This window comes from Homo sapiens, chromosome 2 (assembly GCF_000001405.40).
Source record: "Homo sapiens chromosome 2, GRCh38.p14 Primary Assembly".
In the NCBI taxonomy this organism is placed as follows: domain Eukaryota; kingdom Metazoa; phylum Chordata; class Mammalia; order Primates; family Hominidae; genus Homo; species Homo sapiens.
Window position 1 is genome coordinate 214774725 of NC_000002.12, and position 18604 is coordinate 214793328.

Sequence of the window (18604 nt, forward strand, 5' to 3'; positions counted from 1 at the left end):
GATGGCATATTCTTCCAACAAAAGGCTGTTTCAACTTCACTGAAATCTGTTGTTTAGTGTGCCACTCTCATAATTATCTTGGCTAGATCTTCTGGATAACCTGCTGCAGTTTCTCCATCAGCACCTGCTGTTTCAACTTGCATTGTTATATTATGGAGACAGCTTTTTTCCTTCAACTTCATGAACCAACCTCTGCTAGCTTCCAACTTTTCTTCTGCAGCTTCCTCACCTCTCTCAGTCTTCACAGAATTGAAGAGATTTAGGATCTTGCTCTGGAGTAGGGTTTTGCTTAAGGAAATGTGGTTGGTTTGATCATCTATCCAGACCATTCCAACTCTCCTCATATCGGCAGTAAGGCGGTTATGCTTTCTTCTCATCTCATTTGTGTATTCAACAGGGTAGCTCTTTTAAATTACTTAAAGAATTTTTTCTTTGCATTCACAAATTGGCTGTTTGGCAAGAGACCTAGCTTTTGGCCTATCTCAACTTTCAACATGCCTTCCTCACTCATCATTTCTAGCTTCTTATATAAAGTAAGAGATGAGTGACTCTTCCTTCCACTTGAAAACTCAGAGGACATTGTAGGGTTGTTAGTTTACCTAAATTCAATATTCTTGTGTCCCAGGAAACAGGGATTCAAAGGGAGAGAGATGGGAGAATTATCAGTAAGCAGAATAGTCAGAAAAGACATTTATCAATTAAGTTTGCCATGTTACATGGCCAGGGTTTGTGGTGCCCCAAAGCAATTACAATAGTTACATCAAAGATCACTGATCACAAATCACCGTAACAGATACAACAATAGTGAAAATATCTGAAATATTGTGAGAATTACCAAAATGTGACACAGAGACACACTGAGCATAGGCTGTTGGAAAAACAGCACTGACAGACTTGCTCAATGCAGGATTGCCAAAAAACACAAAAACAAAACTCTCTGCGAAGCATAAAAAAGTGAAGTGCAATTAAATGAGGTATGCCTGTAATTTAACAGATAATTCTGATAACCTGGTCAATGGCACAATAAGTTACTGGTATTACAAAAGCAGACTTATACATATGTGGTGAGTGACAGAGGAGAAAAATAGATACTGACTCCAGGAGGTGTTTTAGAAATTAAACTCTTGAAAATATCACATATGCCAAGGCTGCTTTTGTTTCCTTTGCTACCTTCTCATGAAGCTACTATGAAGGATATATAATTTCACACACAATATAACATGACTGTCTTCAAGTATAATAAACTACAAAGTTAAACTCTAAATGAGACTCCTCACAAGGGATCTTCTCTCTCTCCAGGGGATCTTCATCACCTTTGTTATGTTCTAAGCATACCATGCCTTGTAAGTTGCATTCAAAACATTATCTATTATGTCTACATCACTAATAAATCATGGCATGCCAGCTTCAAGCCATTCTTCTATTCCACAGTAAGTCATTGCTGTGGCATAAATTATGAGTAGTCATTGCCATTTTAAGAATTTGTGCTAGAGAACTTGGTAGAAGGGTGTGGGGGAAGAAAAGGGGAAGGTCAGGATGGCACAAATTCTCAAGCAAAGCTGACATAATAGAAAATAAAAAATTTTCTCTATATCCTTAGTATTTTGTTTTCTATTGGGTTGGTGCAAAAGTAATTGTGGTAATAAATCAGAAGAATAAACAATGAGTATCTTAGTTTCTACTTACGCACAAAGCTTTCTCATAAACTCTCCCATTCATGACACAGTGTTCTCAATAGCAGTTTAACATAGCTGATGCAGACATTCAAATAGGAACATGAGTTATGAAGATATTCAAATAGGAAGAGGGGTATAAAAAAGACTTACTGATAGGAGAGCAGAGAAATGATAATTTTGATTTCGGTCAGATTACTCTGGCTGTTACATAGAGAACTGACTGCAGGAAATACAAAGGGAAATTAGGAAGCTACTTCAGTGGTGTGGTCAAAAAATTACGACCTCCAAAAATGTCCACACACGAATAATCCCCAGAACCTGTGACTATGTTACCTTACGTGGTGAAAGGGACACTGCAGTGTAATTAAGTGGACACACCTTGAGATGGGGAGATTATTCCGCATTTCTCAAGTAGCCCAATTTAATCGTATGAATTCTTAAAAGCAGAGGGTCTTTCTGGCTATGTCAGAAAGATAAGATGTGAGAAGGACTCAATCTGCTGCTGCTGGATGAGATGAAGAAGAGGACCACGAACTAAAGGAATGTGAGAGTCTCTAGAACCTGGAAACAACCCTCAGCTGAAAACCAGCAAGAAATCTGGATCTCAGTCTTACCACAAGAATTATGAAGTCCCTGCCAACCATCCAAGCAAAAATGAAATGGGTCTTTCCTGGAACCTCCTGAAAACAGCTGACAACATGATTTTAGTGTGATGAGACCCATACTAGACTTCAGGTGTACAGAACTGTAAGAAAATTAATTTGCATTGCTTTGAATCACTAACTTTGTGGAAGTTTGTTTTGGCACCAATAGAAAATTAATGCAAGTGGTAGGGGCAAGAAAAGAGAAGTAGCTGCCAGTAGGGTGGTAGCTATGGAAAGGTTATGGCCAATGATGATGCCCAGAGGTAGTTTGGGGCAAGGTATTATACGATGTTTATTAATAATGTTTCCAAGCTCAGAAATCAATCAGTAAAGCCCTACCTGCAGTGGGGGAAGGTAACTAGTGCAGGAGAACAAACTCCTGCTGGGTTCTCTGCCCTCGGTGCATACACCAAGGATGCTCAGCGCAAACATGTGCTCAAACTATAGAAACTGCAAGTTTACCAACATGCTTAAGAAACAATACAACGCAAGTCTAAACAACTTTAGGCCACTTGAAATCCTTTTCTGAAGTAGGTGGGTACAAAACATAAATAATCACCACCAAAAAAGATGCATTATCTTTTGACAGCACAAAACCTGGTCCTTCCCCTTATTTGCTTTGGCTGCCTTAAAGGTCACCAAAACTAAATTCACTCCAGTTGTAGTAACTCTTTCCTCTTTACCAACTCCTTGTTCCATTTTATAGTAGCTTTAACTTTAGAGCCACTTCAAATCCTTTTCTGAAGCAGGTGGGTGCAAAATATAAATAAGATAGCAGAATTGCAATATGTGTACACATAGATTTATTCATTCTTGGCTGCAAATGAGAAAATTAGGATAGGAATGAAATGAAAACTGTTTCTAAAAAGATTGGCCAGGTATGGTGGCTCATGCCTGTAATCCCAAGACTTTGGGAGGCCGAGGACATATCACCTGAGGTGAGGAGTTCGAGACCAGCCTGGCCAACATGGTGAAACTCCGTCTCTACTAAAAATATAAAAAGTAGCCTGGCATGATGGCAGGTGCCTGTAATCCCAGCTACTCGGGAAGCTGAAGCAGAAGGATTGCTTGAACCCAGGAGGCGGAGGTTGCAGTGAGCTGAGATTGTGCCACTGCACTCCAGCCTGGGTGACAGGGCAAGACTCTGTCCCCCGCCCCTCCCCCCACCCCCAAAAAAGAAAAAAATATATAAATATATTTATATAAGCAAATCTGATTTTAAGGATATATTTATTAAAATAAAGCTAAGGCGAGAGGCATACATTCAACTCATAAAAAAATTTAAAAGGACACTATTAATTGGTGATTTTAAAAACAATAAAAATTAACTTTTAAAAAATGTACCATAACATAATCTGACAACTGGTGACAATAATTGCATTTAATAATTAAGTTCAAGGAAATAAAAATGGATTTAATAATTCCGGCAAAACTCTAAGCAAACTGACAAAACTCATATGAAGTAATCTTGAACGTATTAATAGAGAAAATTCACCAAGACAGGAGCATGCCATCATTTTATCCTGACTTAATATTCTATTACAGTTTCTTCACATGCCTAGACCAAGAGTAGGCAAACTATAGCCTATGGGCCAGTCACCCAATTTTGTACGTAAGTTTTATTAGTTTGCATATTGCCTGTGGCTACTTTTGCACTAAGAAGGCAGAGCTGAACCGCTATGATAGAGATTTCATGGCCTGCAAAGCTGAAAACATTTACTCTAACTGCACCTTTAAGAAAGAACTTACAAAACTCTGGCCTAGACCCTAGGGATCCTCATTAATAAAGATAAATTATTCTTATGGTTAGAAGAAAAAGTCGCCACCAATATAAGTAAATGCTTGCCTGATAGTCCAAAAATTTCCCAGAAAGCAAAATATATAAATTACTATGTATTAGCCAGCAAAATGAACAAAAATAATCATTACACTAGCTACTTATGTCTATAACTTTGTTTACAATAGCTTATATGTACATATAATATACATATATATAACAGAGATGACAAAAAATGTCTAATTTTGTTAAGTCAGGCTTTGCAAAAATCAAACTAAAACACAACCAGAGCCAAGTGCAAAAATTCAACATGTCCAAAGGATATGTGGTCATGTTGTAAGGTCCCTGCCTCACTGGTATCAGAAATAGAGTACAGTCATCCCTCAGTATCTGTGGGGGATTGGTTCCAGAATCCCAGCAGATACCAAAATCCAGATTCCTCATATAAAATGATGTATTTGCAAATAACCTACAGAGATCCTCCAGTATACTTTAAATCATCTCTAAATTACTTATAACACCTAATACAATATAAATGCTATGTAGATAGTTGTTATACGATATTTTTTAATTTGCATTTTTTTATTGCGTATTGTTATTGGCTTTTCTCCCAAATATTTTTGATTCGCAGTTGGTTGAACCCATAAACATAGAATGCACAGATACACAGAGCTGACTGTATTCCTCATTAATCTGGAAGAAAAGCAAGGAAAACAAACCAGCAGCAGCTGGGATAAGCTCAGTTTATGCTATTCCCTTTCTCCACACAGAAATACAGGAATCTTTGGACCACACTCAATGTCTACTCCATGTTCTTCTCAAATGTTTTATGTTGCCCACCAGCCTCATGTTTGTGGACCTCCAAGTGGTTCCTCCCAGGTGTCCCAAAGTTCTCTACCCATCCAGAAGACCAAAGGATTTCCTGGGTGAATTGACTACGTACAGTCGCTGAGACTGCATAAAAGCTATCCTAATTTAGTACTAAGGTCTACCATATCATACTTTCCTAACATTTGCATGAAATCACAGAGCAAAGCTTATAAAGCTATGGTGCCTACTGCTCTATTTCACATGTAGTGTTTGTGTCAGTTTCAAAGATTAACCACTGCCAAGTGTTCAGAAAACAGGCCAGGTTCCATAAAACGCTGCCACATCTCAGGTGTTGAGGCAATAATTAAAGAGAATGAACGTCAATGAACAGGTCAGTAAAAGGAACAGCTGATTGTAGGGTAAAAAGCAGCTCCTTTGTGGTGAACTGGAGGAGCCATTTCTGATAGTCAAATGTCCCGGTCATTGGAGAAATGTACAGACCACATCTTTCAACCTTCCAAATTTTGGTTGAATTTGGATGGTAAATATGGGCTTTTTTACTAAGTAAACATTGTTGCCTGTAATAACTTAGCAATTGTCTACATTCATAAAGCATGAAGACAGGTAAACAAAATGATAAAAACTGAAGGTAAAATAGACAAAAGCAAAAGCACTTGGCAAAATAAAAGCCGAAATATTCAAATATTGGTTTTCTCCTACAAGATCATGCGCCCAGACTCAGGGGCCACTGCTCCAACTGAAGTAGAGATGCTCTCCCTATGAATCTGGCTTCTCTGGTTCAGAGGAAGTATCATGTCTGTGAAAGGTTAATTATCCTAGTAATCCTATGCCATTTTTCAAAAACTGCAAAGAAATTGCTTTATAGTTGGCCTCATTCTGAGATGGTATTTCAGAGTAAGCATCCTACCTTAATAGAAGCAATATGGAGCAAAGTCTCTCCTCTATGATTTCTTTTCACAGCCATATTGGGCAACAGCTTCATTGCTGAGGGACTAGACATCACTCGCCTGTAACTTGAACTACTTAATGTAGAAGGTGGTGTACCTGGTGAAAGACTAATGAATTCATCGGACATGTTACTGTTTTTCCTCCCTGATGTACCACCAACTTTACGTTTGCATGAAGGTGGTGAAGAACATTCAGGCAATGGTATATTTTCTGAGGGCACCGTTTGCTTAACAAAATCTCCACTGGTGCTCAGAATGCTGGTTCTACATCTCTTAGAAATGGGACTGGAAAGTCTATTGTGATGGCCACGTTTTCCATTATTTTCTAATGGCAAAGATTTCTTAGATGTAAGATAATTTTTGCAGACCTTCTCAGGAGTCACTACTTCATTCCTGCTCTTAGTGTCTGGAGACTCTATTTGCTCAGCCAATGGTAAAGAGACTTCAGTTAAACTTCCAAAACATTCAGATTCTGTCAAGGAGCCACTTGCTAGTAAGTCTATTTCACCATTTATCTGAGGACTGGAGATAACAGATGGTTGGCTACAGAAGGATACCAGCTTTTGCTTAGATTCCTCTTTGGAGTCAAATTCACCATCTTCTTTTTCTGCCTCTAAATTCCATTTTTGGTTGATTTCAGCTAAAGTTTTCTTTTTTTGCTTTTTTCCAGATCTTGCAGAAGCCTTTTTAGCCCTCTCAGAAACATCTGCAGGAGGACTTGGGGAAACAAATTCATATGAGTCTTGCTGAGCACTTGCATCTTTTTTTATTGCAGGCTGGGTTTGCACTGAAGCTTTACTCACAACATATCTGACTTTCTTACTTCGAGGGCTAAACCACATTTTAATTGAATTCTTCTTGTTTCCTGCATCATTAAACAAACTTTTCCTAGGTTTATCTTCTTTCAAATCTGACAGAAAAAAAGAAAAAGAAATCTGTTACATGAAATTTATTGCTCCCACATGGAGCTCCCGAAGAATTTTGTTTACAGTTCCCCTAAAGTGTATCATCTTTTAATTATGTACTTCTTTCTCAGCTCCTAGAGTGTGAACTCTTTGATAGCAGATATTCACTCATTCAATACTTACTGAATCCGACTTTGTGCCATATCCTAGAGACTGAAGATATAGCAGAGAACAAAACATGAAACTTATATTCCAAATATAGTACCCAAAAAAACCCATAAAATACAAATCTAACAGAATGTATAAGTTCTGTTTGCTAAGAATTACAAAATACTTATTAAAGAATTCTACACAAATGGAGAGATATACCATGTTCATGAACTATAACAATATTGTTAAGATGCCAATTGTTCCAAACAGATTTACAGATATAACAAATCCCAATGTAATTTCCAGTAGGCTTGTTTGTAAAACTCGACAAGCAATTATAAAATTTACACGGAAAAAGAAAGGTACAATTTGAAAGGCAAAAGACTTAGAACAACCAACATAATACTGAAGAACCAAGTTGGAGGACTCATACTATATGACTTCAAAACGTATCTCTGACAAAATGAATAAAGGGGATTAAAGACAATAGTCATGACCCTTTAGGTATCATCTAATATTAACGTCAAGCTGTATAACCAAAGATTAGTAAGAATAAATGAACAATAACTACATATTCAAACATAATCTCTTAAGCAAAATAAACTACATACACATTATATGTTTTCACTTACATCAAATATAAAACAGTCAAAACTGATTTAATGTGTTAAGTCAGAATAGTAGTTGGTTACCCCTACAGGGAAAAGTAGTGACTGAAAGGGAGCACAAGAGGGGCTTCCAGAGTATTGTTTTTGTTCTGGGTGAGTTCAGTTTGTGCAAATTCATTAAACTATATGGTTAGAAAATATATATTTTTTCTACATATATATATATAAAATACTTTTTAAAAATTTGAAAAATATAGATTTATAATCAAGAATTAAAACACAAAGATTCCATTGAGGGTAGACAGAATATACAAAGATTCAGCAGAGTTTTTAAAAAGAAAAAAAATTGTCTCTATGTACACAAAGTGCCAGATTTTGTGAGAGATACTCTTCTTTACACTCACCTGCTACTTTAATTAAGGTCATCAAGGAAGGCATCAAGGAGAAGTTGATTTTTGAGCTGAGATGTAAATGATGTAAAGGAAACAGTCCTGTGGATCTCACATCCAATGCAGAAAAGGGATATAATGTTTTATATTGTAGAATTACCACTCTGACTGCCATGTGGAGGAGGAACTTTGGAAAGAAAAGAGTAGAAACAATAGCCAATTATGTGGCTATCATCCAAGAGGAAATATATTGGCTCTGACAAGTGTTACAGTAATAGAAATGGTAAAAAGCATTCTAAAAGATCACAAGTTACCTAGACCAAGAGGCAAGAGCAAGATGATAAAATGTTCAAAAGCCCAATAGCAGAGAGCATACAAAGTTGTTCCTCCATATTATCAGGGGACTGGTTCGAGAACTCCCTTGGATACCAAAATACCCACACACTCAATTCCTGTACTCACTCCTGGAGAAGCAGAGTGTAGAAAAAGTCAGCCCTCTGTATACTTGGGTTTTGCATTCCATGAATACTGTATTTTCCATCTGCATTTGACCAAAAAAAATCTGTATATAAGTGGACCCATGCAGCTCAAGCCTATGTTATTCAAGGGGCAACTGTAGTAAGTTTAAGGAATTAAAGGATGGCCAGTATACCTCACTTACAGAGACCACGGAAGAAAGTGATTTTTAAAGAAAATGTGGCACATATACACCATGGAATACTATGCAGCCATAAAAAAGAATGACTTCATGTCCTTTGCAGGGACATGGATAATGCTGGAAGCCATCATTCTCAGCAAACTAACACAGGAACAGAAAACCAAAAACCACATCTTCTCACTTATAAGTGGAAGTTAAACAATGGGAAGACATGGACACAGGGAGGAGAACATCACACACCAGGGCCTGTCAGGGGGTTGGGGGCAAGGGGAGTGAGAGCATTAGGACAAATACCTAATGCATGTGGGTCTTAAAACCTAGAAGACGGGTTGATAGGTGCGGCAAACCATTGTGACATAGATATATAGACCAATGGAACAGAACAAAGCCCTCAGAAATAATGCCACACATCTACAACCATCTGATTTTTGACAAACCTAACAAAACAAGCAATGGGGAAAGGATTCCCTATTTAATAAATGATGTTGGGAAAACTGGCTAGCCATATGCAGAAAACTGAAACTGGACCCCTTCCTTACACCTTATATAAAAATTAACTCAACATGGATTAAAGACTTAAACATAAGACCTAAAACCATAAAAATGCTAGAAGAAAATCTAGGCAATACCATTCAGGACATGGGCATGGGCAAAGACTTCAAGACTAAAACAATGTCCTGAAGTCTTTTACTGCAATGGCAGTAAAAGCCAAAATTGACAAATGGGATCTAATTAAACTAAAGACCTTCTGCACAGCAAAAGAAACTATCATCAGAGTGAAGAGGCAACCTACAGAATGGGAGAAAAATTTTTGCAATCTATACATCTGACAAAGGACTAATATCCAGAATCTACAAAGAACTTAAACAAATTTACAAGAAAAAATCAACCCCATCAAAAAGTGGGCGAAGGATATAAACAGATACTTCTCAAAAGAAGACATTTATGTGGCCAACAAACACGAAAAAAAAGCTCATCATCATCATTAGACAAATGCAAATCAAAACCACAATGAGATATCATCTCACGCCAGTTAGAATGGCGATCATTAAAAAGTCATGGAAACAACAGATGCTGGAGAGGATGTGGAGAAATAGAAACACATTTACACTGTTGGTGGGGGTGTAAATTAGTTCAACCATTGTGGAAGACAGTGTGGCAATTCCTCAAGGATCTAGGACCAGAAATACCATTTGACCCAGCAATCTCATTACTGGGTATATACCCAAAGGATTATAAATCATTCTACTATAAAGACACATGCACATGTATGTTTATTGTAGCACTGTTCACAATAGCAAAGACTTGGAACCAACCCAAATGCCCATCAATGACAGACTGGATAAAGAAAATGTGGCACATATACACCATGGAATACTATACACCCATAAAAAGAATGAGTTCATGTACTTTGCAGGGACATGGATGAAGCTGGAAACCATCATTCTCAGCAAACTAACACAGGAACAGAAAACCCAACACTGCATGTTCTCACTCATAAGTGGGAGGTGAACAATGAGAACACATGGACAGAGGGAGGGGAACATCACACACCGGGGCCTGTCCGATGGAGCGGGGTCAGGGGAGGGATAGCATTAGGAGAAATACCTAATGTACATGACAGGTTGATGGGTGCAGCAAACCACCACGGCATGTGTAAACCTATGTAACAAACCTGCATGTTCTGCACATGTATCCCAGAAATTATAGTTAAAAAAAAAAAAAAGAAAGAAAGCCATTTGTTCTTTCCATAGAAGCCTTTTCTTCCCTCTACCTCTTCCCCTTAATTTAGGTTTATAAACTCCCATTTTTACCTGTTTGGAGAGTCACATTTTTCTGTGAACTCACAAGTATATTCATAAATAAAAATCTATTTTTTCTCTTGCTAATTGTTTTACAGTTTAATTCACAGGCCTCCATACAATGAACCTAAGAGTGTAGAGGAAAAGTTTTTCTTCATTGACAAATCATACAAGTCATCCACTTTTCTGATTTTGACGATCAACTACCTTCAAGTTGTCTTATGTTGTTTTTGTCTTTGGGATATTCATTTTCTTCAAGAAAAAAAAATTGCCTTAAAATTCTCTCCCACCCCATGACAACATAGGTAAAATCAACCCAGCTCAGCCCAGCACAGTGGTGAGCACATGAATAGACAGTACTCAGTAAGTACTAGTGAATAAATTATTTGATATCTCTTAAATCTTTCCAAATGTTTACGTAAGAGATGTTAGAATTAATTTTAAGAGCTAGAAGAAAACTTGAAAATAATTTAGTCTAATTCTTTCATTTTAACAATGAAGGACTAAAGTTAAAACAAAAAGAAGGAAGGAGTCCCCTAACTCCCAATCTGGCACTCTATCTCTCCACACAAACTGGATTAGCAAAAGGTAATTTCAGGCCCAGAAAAAAAAAGAAAGAAAGAAAGAAAAAGAAGAACATTAGAAACGGAGGAAAGTTGGAAAAATAACAATAATCTGATAAGATTAAAAACAGTAATTAACAAATGATTTCATGCTGCCTGACAAACATTCTCCTAATTAACACAGACAATCTCCTCTGACCAACCAGGCTTCTTACAATATGTTTTGTTATTCCTATTTTAAAAAGAAAGAGAAGAGAGAGAGAGACAGAGAAAAAGAGAGAAAAAGAAACTACCCAAATTTTGTTTTCCTCCTTAAGTCACTCTTCATTCAAATCGAAAAGAACTCTGCATAAAACTTTACCTACATTACAGAACCAAAGAAAACTTTTAATGGAATGGAGTTCTAAACCTAAGGTACTTTAAGAAGAAAACCAGTGGCCACTAGTCTTATTCCTAAGGGATATAACATCTACCATATAGGAAATAAACATCTGATGTTACAAGGTGTTCAATAACATTTTCAAATGGTGATTATTACTGAGAACTTTTAATACTTAAGAGATACAACATTATTTTCATTTTCTTACGTTTTGGGGAATAAATTTCTTTTCAACATTCTCATGTCTTTATTAGCAAAAGAAAAGTACATCATCTATTATTTTTTATTTCCTTTTAGTCATTTTTTATCCACATAGAACAGCTTGTTTTATTGTTTTACCAGCTTAAAATTATTAATACACCAGAAGATTGTTAATGATCATCTCAATTCTTTCAAGTTCAAAATTGCTTCTTCTGCCTATTCTTTCACCTCATATTTCTTGAGTACAAAAGTCCTATCTTCAAAAATATATTTACCTGGTAAAAGAACCTTAAACAGGTAAGAAGAAATGGGAAACAGGCTTTGAAAAATAAAATAATTAGTACTTAACTCTAGAAATTTCAGACATGGTCCCTCTCTAGCAAAAGAGTAAAGATTTTCTACTCCAAAGTGTACCATCACTTCCTGCAGATGAAATGGAAGCACTACACTGAAAAGACAGTAAAATGATAAACCTACTGAAGGCAGGAGTATGTATATGAATAAGGGCAGATTCTCCTACATAAACTTTTAAATATCATAGCTGAACATGACCTGGTCCACAAAGTGTTATTAAGACAGGATCTTGGAAAGTATCAGAATGACGTATCCATTCACATAGAGACTTTATGTCTAGATTCAACAAGGTATTTTCTTTGCAGTGGTAAGTAGATTTCAAAACCAAGTCACTTCTGATATAATCTCAAGTCTATAGGAAAGGTCAAAATGAAATGTTACCAGGATTACTTTTCAAGAAAGACTCAGGATTACAAAGTCATAAAGGTTAATCCTCTGATAGTCTGTAATAACTTGTATTTGATTTTTTTTTAATTATTTTAAACACAGATGACATTTTCAATTAAAACCATGTTCAAACCCTGAGGTTCTCAATTTTTGAAAAACTTTAAAAATGTAGAATTGAGCTTTTAAAGGAAAATTAAGGCTTATATATAGCAGCAACATACTCAACTGACTAAAAAACCTCAATATAAAAAGAAGAAATTTCATACTCAGGTGTACATATTTCCTACCTTATAAATGAGTAAATGAAGATAATATACTCAATGTAATTGATATGAACACAATTTTACTATTCATCTGGTAATAATAACTTTACTCAAAAGATTTTAATTATGTATCTTGCATAACTAAGCAAGGAGCACAACAAAGATGACTGTATATTCTGAATTTTATTAGATATTCTGAATATCTAAGATAATATTCTAAGATAAAACTGTAAAAAGCAAAACACTATTGCTGGAACATAAATCACATTATTAACAGCTACCAACAATTTTTATGGGTGAATGCTTCTCAGCATGATAAATCAACATATTCATTTCATGAAGAAAAATACTGGTCCTTCCTCTGCACAGAAAATTCCTTAATGATAATATTTAAAAGAATTCCATTCTCTGAATTTCAGAGTACATCACAAAATATTGAGTAACAGAGATGCATGTGTTACTAAGGAGCTGCTTGGCCAAGTTTTTTCTTACAATTTAATAATCAACTATAGAAAAAAGAGGCAATTAGAAAATGTGATTTAGCTATCATTAATCTACATCAAAGGATTATAATCATGTACACTGTGTGCCTTTCAAGTTATTCTCTATTATAGGTTTCACAACAGAAGTTGAGAAATCTCTTTGACGAACCAGTCCCTTATTAAAAATCAAAGGAAAGTCCTTTGCTACCATCTGTGCAACATTAACGCCTTCACTGAAGAATGATTATTTTGTAAGCTAGGAAGCATTTAGTACTATTTAAGAAAAACAACAGCAACACAGCTATTCAAACATTCATCTTCCTCTATTATAAAAAAGTCATAGCATATATGAAACACTATGTAATCGTTACAGAAAGACGAGCATCTCTCTCTAAAGCAGAAAATAGAAAAGGAAATTGTAATACTATAAAAGCATAATCAAAGTATTTTTTTTTTAATGTCACCAACACCGACATGTTTCACAGAACCTGACCAGCACCTGCAAGGTCTGACTTAATATGATAGGGTTGAAGAGAAAATAAAAACTTTTAAATTTAACTCCATTAGTAAAAAGAAGATCATGTTATAAAGGATAAGGTAAAATTATCCATAAATGGTTGTCAGCAAAATTTGACAATCTCCTCTTTAAAGTACACTGAACCAAGAAAAATCTGTTCAAGTATTTAGAAGCTCATTTTAGAAAGTATTACTACAAATTAGGCTTCTTTATCTCCAGTATACCATACACTATGTCCATGATTTGACAAGTTCTTCCTAATTGCCCACCTTAATTACAGTAATTATATATATTATAGTAAATGCAAGTAACAAGGTTCATTTGAAAGATAAATTGTGAACTACAGGGTTTTTAAAAGAGAAAATGTGAGAGATGTTCACCATTCCACTTAATTCATCATCTTCTACACATGACCATTTAACAGAATCATACAATTTTGGAGAGACAGCTTAGGAATCACTTAATCTAATACCCTTATCCTAATGAGATCATTTTCCAATCTCCTTACTATTATAAAGAAGACCAACTGTCATTTGTCCCCAACTATCAGTTCCTGGTATATAGTTTACCTTCTAACCTTTTAGTTCTAGAAGTACTTACTAGATAATCAATTACCACAAAGGTACTGCGTAAAATACACTGAATAGACAAACTATAAAGAAACAAAGGGAAATGTTCCAGAAAAAAATCTCAAATGCCCTTCAAGGCTAGTTTGTTTTGGGAAGAATTTGGGATGAAAAGTTGGGGGTCTATACAACTTATATTAAAGTAGAAAAAGCTCTACACCATGGAATTTAGAGATCTGGACAGAAGGTTATAATTCAGTATGTTTATACTCTAAATTTATTGTCATTTCCTATCAAAGTAGCAAAGAAAGATACTACCATTATAATTTTTTAAGAAGGTCTATGAATGCATAGATGTTATCATTATGAAATGAAATTATTTAAACCAAATTCTAAGAATGTATTTTAAAATTATTTTAATTAGGTCAGGCACAATTAGCTCATGCCTGTAAATCCCAGCACTTTGGGAGGTCGAGGTGGGAGAATCATTTAAGCCAGGAGTTCAGGACCAGCCTGGGCAACACAGCAAGACCCTATCACCCTATCTCTTCTAAAAAAAAAAAAAATTAATTGGCAGGGTATGTGGTGGTGAGTGCCTGTAGTCGTAGCTACTTGGGAGGCTGAAGTGGGAGGATCTCTTGAACCCAGGAGTTCAAGGCTTCAGTGAGCCATGATGGCCCCAATGCACTCCATCCTGGGCAACAGAGCAAGACACTGTCTGTCTCAAAATAAATAAATAAATAATTTTAATTAAGTTTAGTCTCTAGCATATAAATTAGCACTGCCAATTTTTATCCAACTCAATTCAACAAACATAATGAATACCTACACTTCGAACCAAAAAGTTGTGTAAAATAGAAAAACAGTAAGAAATTTACAACACAACTGCCCTGTGTAGCCTGGGTCCTCAGTTTCCTTACCTACAGAATAACGGGATTAAAGATGACCTTCGTGTTCCTAAATTTCTGATTATGTGTTATCTAAACAGGGAACTTCAACTCAGTTTAATATAAGTAACGTTGAGGGCGCAGTGCTTAAGTCTGGTAAGGACTAAAATAATTATTCCTAATTATAATAAGGAAAACAAACATAAAATGGCCTTTGGGAAATTAATCAGTAGAATTATCTCTCCAATCTCCAACTCTACTTAGATGAGAAAGACCGCATTCTTAAAGGCCTCAGAAACTTGTTCTAAACTCAATTTTCCTAAATATCTTTAATGATGAAATATGAAGAAAGCATTTCATATTCCATAGTCCTCAAAATATAAATGATTCAAACATCACTAGCTAGAATAAAATTTCTGGAAAGGAGTCTATCTTACTCTTTTTTGCACCCCTATGGTATGCCATAACTGACAACGGTAAATCCATCAAGGGTTACCCTGCTCTCCATTTATCATCATTAAAAATGTTATATTGTTATAAATTGTGTTCCTCCCCCACCAAAATTCACATGTTGAGGTCCTAACCCCCCAGTAACTTAGAATGTGACTTTACTTGGAAATAAGGTCATTGCAGATGTAACTAGCTAAAATGAAGCGATACTGGAGTAGGGTGGACTCCCAACGCAATATGACTCCTGTCCTTTAAAAAGGGGGAGATTTGACACAAACAAGGAGAAAACCATGTTAACATAATGATGGCCATCTACAAGACAAGGAGACTGGCCTAAAACAGGTTCTGTCTCACAGACCTCAACAAAGAACCAACCTTGCATACACTTTCATCTCAGACTTCCAGTGTCTGGAATTGTGAGACAATAAATATCTGTTGTTTAAGCCACTCAGTTTGTGATACTTTGTTACAGCAGTTCTAGCAAATGAATACATTACTATACAGCAACTGGTGAAGAACCAAATCAAAATATCATCATAGCCACAAATCCCAAAGTAGCACTCCAAATTTCAGTGCAAAGCCAATAATCCTAACAGACCACACACTCCTAAGAATCTAACAAAAGTCACTTTCACACAAACATGAACAGTTTTCATACTGCACAATTAACTCAAGAAGCTCACTGATCCCTTACCCACTTCAACTCTGAACACTGCCAAAGGTGCATGGGCCCTTGATTAAGAACCCCTGCACTGACCCTCGGTATCTATGTGGGGAGAGAAAGGTAGATCACACACCAATCTCTTTTAACTAGAAAATAAACATTGTCAGTACTGTCTTTAAATAAGAAGAGTTCAGATGAACTAATGACAGAATTTTTCTTCAGTGTGTTCTTAAAAAGGTTTACAACTACAATATCATTTTTAAAAAACGGCAACTTTTAAAAATGTGTGTGTATAGTTACATCTGAAAGTAAGAAAAACTTCTGCACTACAGCACATTTTATCATAAAAGAATGGAGTTGAATACAATGACGCAGATAACTAGCTGAAGGAAAATTTTAATAGGTATAAAGTGATTTAAGTTCTAATTCTTAAAAATATGGACCTGTGGTAAGACTCAAAGTTTTTGCCACATTTATTTATTTTGTATAATCAACTTCATCTTTAGCTGACAATAAGACATCATGGCAGGATTCTAAGAACAAAAGATTTAAAAATAGAAATCTAACAATTTTATATGAGCATTATCAATCATCCATGGCATCCTGCCAGTCAAGAACACGTTCTTCTACAAACACACACTAAAATAGCATGATCTGGTCAATAAAAAGACAACTCTAATATCCAATTATGAAGATACAAAACATTTTACTTTCTTTCCACAGTTAATTAGTTCTCAGCAGAAAGCACAATGGAAAGATACACAGTTAATACACAGAGTCTAAGGACAATTTAAAAAACGTTAACCCCCACTTAAATAGAAAAGAAAATGAATATTAGATTTCTGCTCTTTCAAAATGTGCTCATCTAATTAATTCAGTCTAGAAAAGTGATCCATGGAAAAATGTCGTATTCTATCTTGGGAAAGTGTATTTAAGTGAGTTAAGTGCTATTAAGGCCAAAATCACTATTCCATATATATTCTGCAGAAGTTATCATAAATGTAAAAAGCAGGCAATGTAAAGCAGCAAAAAAGTTCCTGGATTTACAGTCAGAAATGGGCTTTATTTCTCCAGCTTCTAGTACTAACTACACATGCGGCTGTAGGCAAGGTTATTTCACCTCTCTGGACCTTGATTTCTCAACTATAAAATAAGGGGGTTAGACTTTAATTATCTCTATGGTTCCCGTCATTTCTCAAAATGATCTTCCAAAAAACCACCGGGTGTGTCACATGCATGTACCAGGGAGGCTGAGGTGGGGGGAATCCCTTGAGTGCAGGAGTTCAAGTCCGGCTTGGACAACATAGAGAGACTCAATGGCTATTTAAAAAAAAAAAAAAAAAACCTACAGATTTTAAAATCTGAAATACGTATTCCAGAACTCCAGATAGATGTTTTATATACTTTATGAATATGAATTCATCAGTTTTTAACTGATGAATTTAACTAAGAGAGATAGGGATAGTTCTTACCTGACAGCTCATTGTCATGTAGCAAATTTCGAAGCTTACTACAAAGTTGAATCATGCTGTCCAGTTGTCTATTTATCTTCAAGTCTTGTATCCAGGCCGGGGTGTAACACACTGGACATCCAGTTCCAATGCAGTCACTTACACAATTACTTTAAAATAATTAAAAAAAAAAAAAAAAGCAACCCATTCAGCAGAATTTAATTCCAAAAACTAAACAGTTTGAACAGAAATAAATGGAGCAGAGGTTATTCTAACATACAATGGTCAATTGTAATATCCTTGTTGAATACTGTTTTAAAGAGTAAAATACATACATCAAATCTAAGGTTGCTCATGTAATTTGCTATGAAGAGACTTTACTTAGCCTGATTATTAGTCTGCATAATTTTCCCTACAAATAAATCTGTAGCTTCTAAAGGTTACAGAGATGTAACAGAAAGATAGAATGCCTAATGCATAGTAGTCGTGCATCCTAACTTTTTCTATCTTAACATTGCATGAAAATACCCAAAACTACTGCAGACACTGGGAAAGACCTTCTGTTTTGTTTTGGGACTAGTATCTCAAGGCTTTAAAGTAGCTTTTGGGAAAAGATCTTTGACTTTTTCAGACAATTTTAAAACCTGTAGACTCAATTACCTGGGTTATCTAAGGACTAAAGTTTCAGAGTTAGAAGAGTTTTTCTAATTTTGGGGTTTATAGACCTTTTGCAAATCTGATGAAAATCTATACATACTCATGTAAAAAGAGGGATTCACGATCCCCCCCACAAGCCCATCTGTGAATTCCAGAATAAGAATTCTATAAATCTCCTCCTTCATTGGCCTCACCAGATGGGTTCCAGTAGGACTGAGTAAGTAATGTAACAGTTGAAAAGCCACATCTTCCCCAAGCACCACAGGACATTCCTTGTCACAGGACCCAATCCTCTGTAGGCAGAGAGGATTCTTACTCAATATGAACTATCCTCAAACAAAACCTATGCCATTTCTAATTCTTGTATCCTTGGCTTCTAGCATGATTTCTGACAGA

At 35.7% G+C, this 18604-nt stretch overlaps 1 protein-coding gene across 11 annotated transcripts in view; it reads right to left on the reverse strand.

The window, feature by feature from the left end:
* Window positions 1-18604, reverse strand: part of BARD1 (BRCA1 associated RING domain 1) — an 84038-nt gene that overhangs the window by 49079 nt on the left and 16355 nt on the right. For 3 of the 11 annotated variants that reach the window (NM_001282543.2, NM_000465.4, XM_047445350.1), the window contains 2 exons: window positions 17573-17721; window positions 5836-6785 (listed from right to left, as the gene is read on the reverse strand). The exons of 2 other annotated variants lie outside the window; for them this stretch is intronic. In NM_001282543.2, the coding sequence (NP_001269472.1) occupies window positions 5836-6785; window positions 17573-17721 (1099 nt within the window). Of the gene's footprint in view, window positions 1-5835; window positions 6786-17572; window positions 17722-18402; window positions 18502-18604 lie in introns of all 11 variants that reach the window. 6 more of the 11 variants (XM_017004613.2, XM_017004614.2, NR_104215.2 and 3 more) reach the window with 3 other exon arrangements.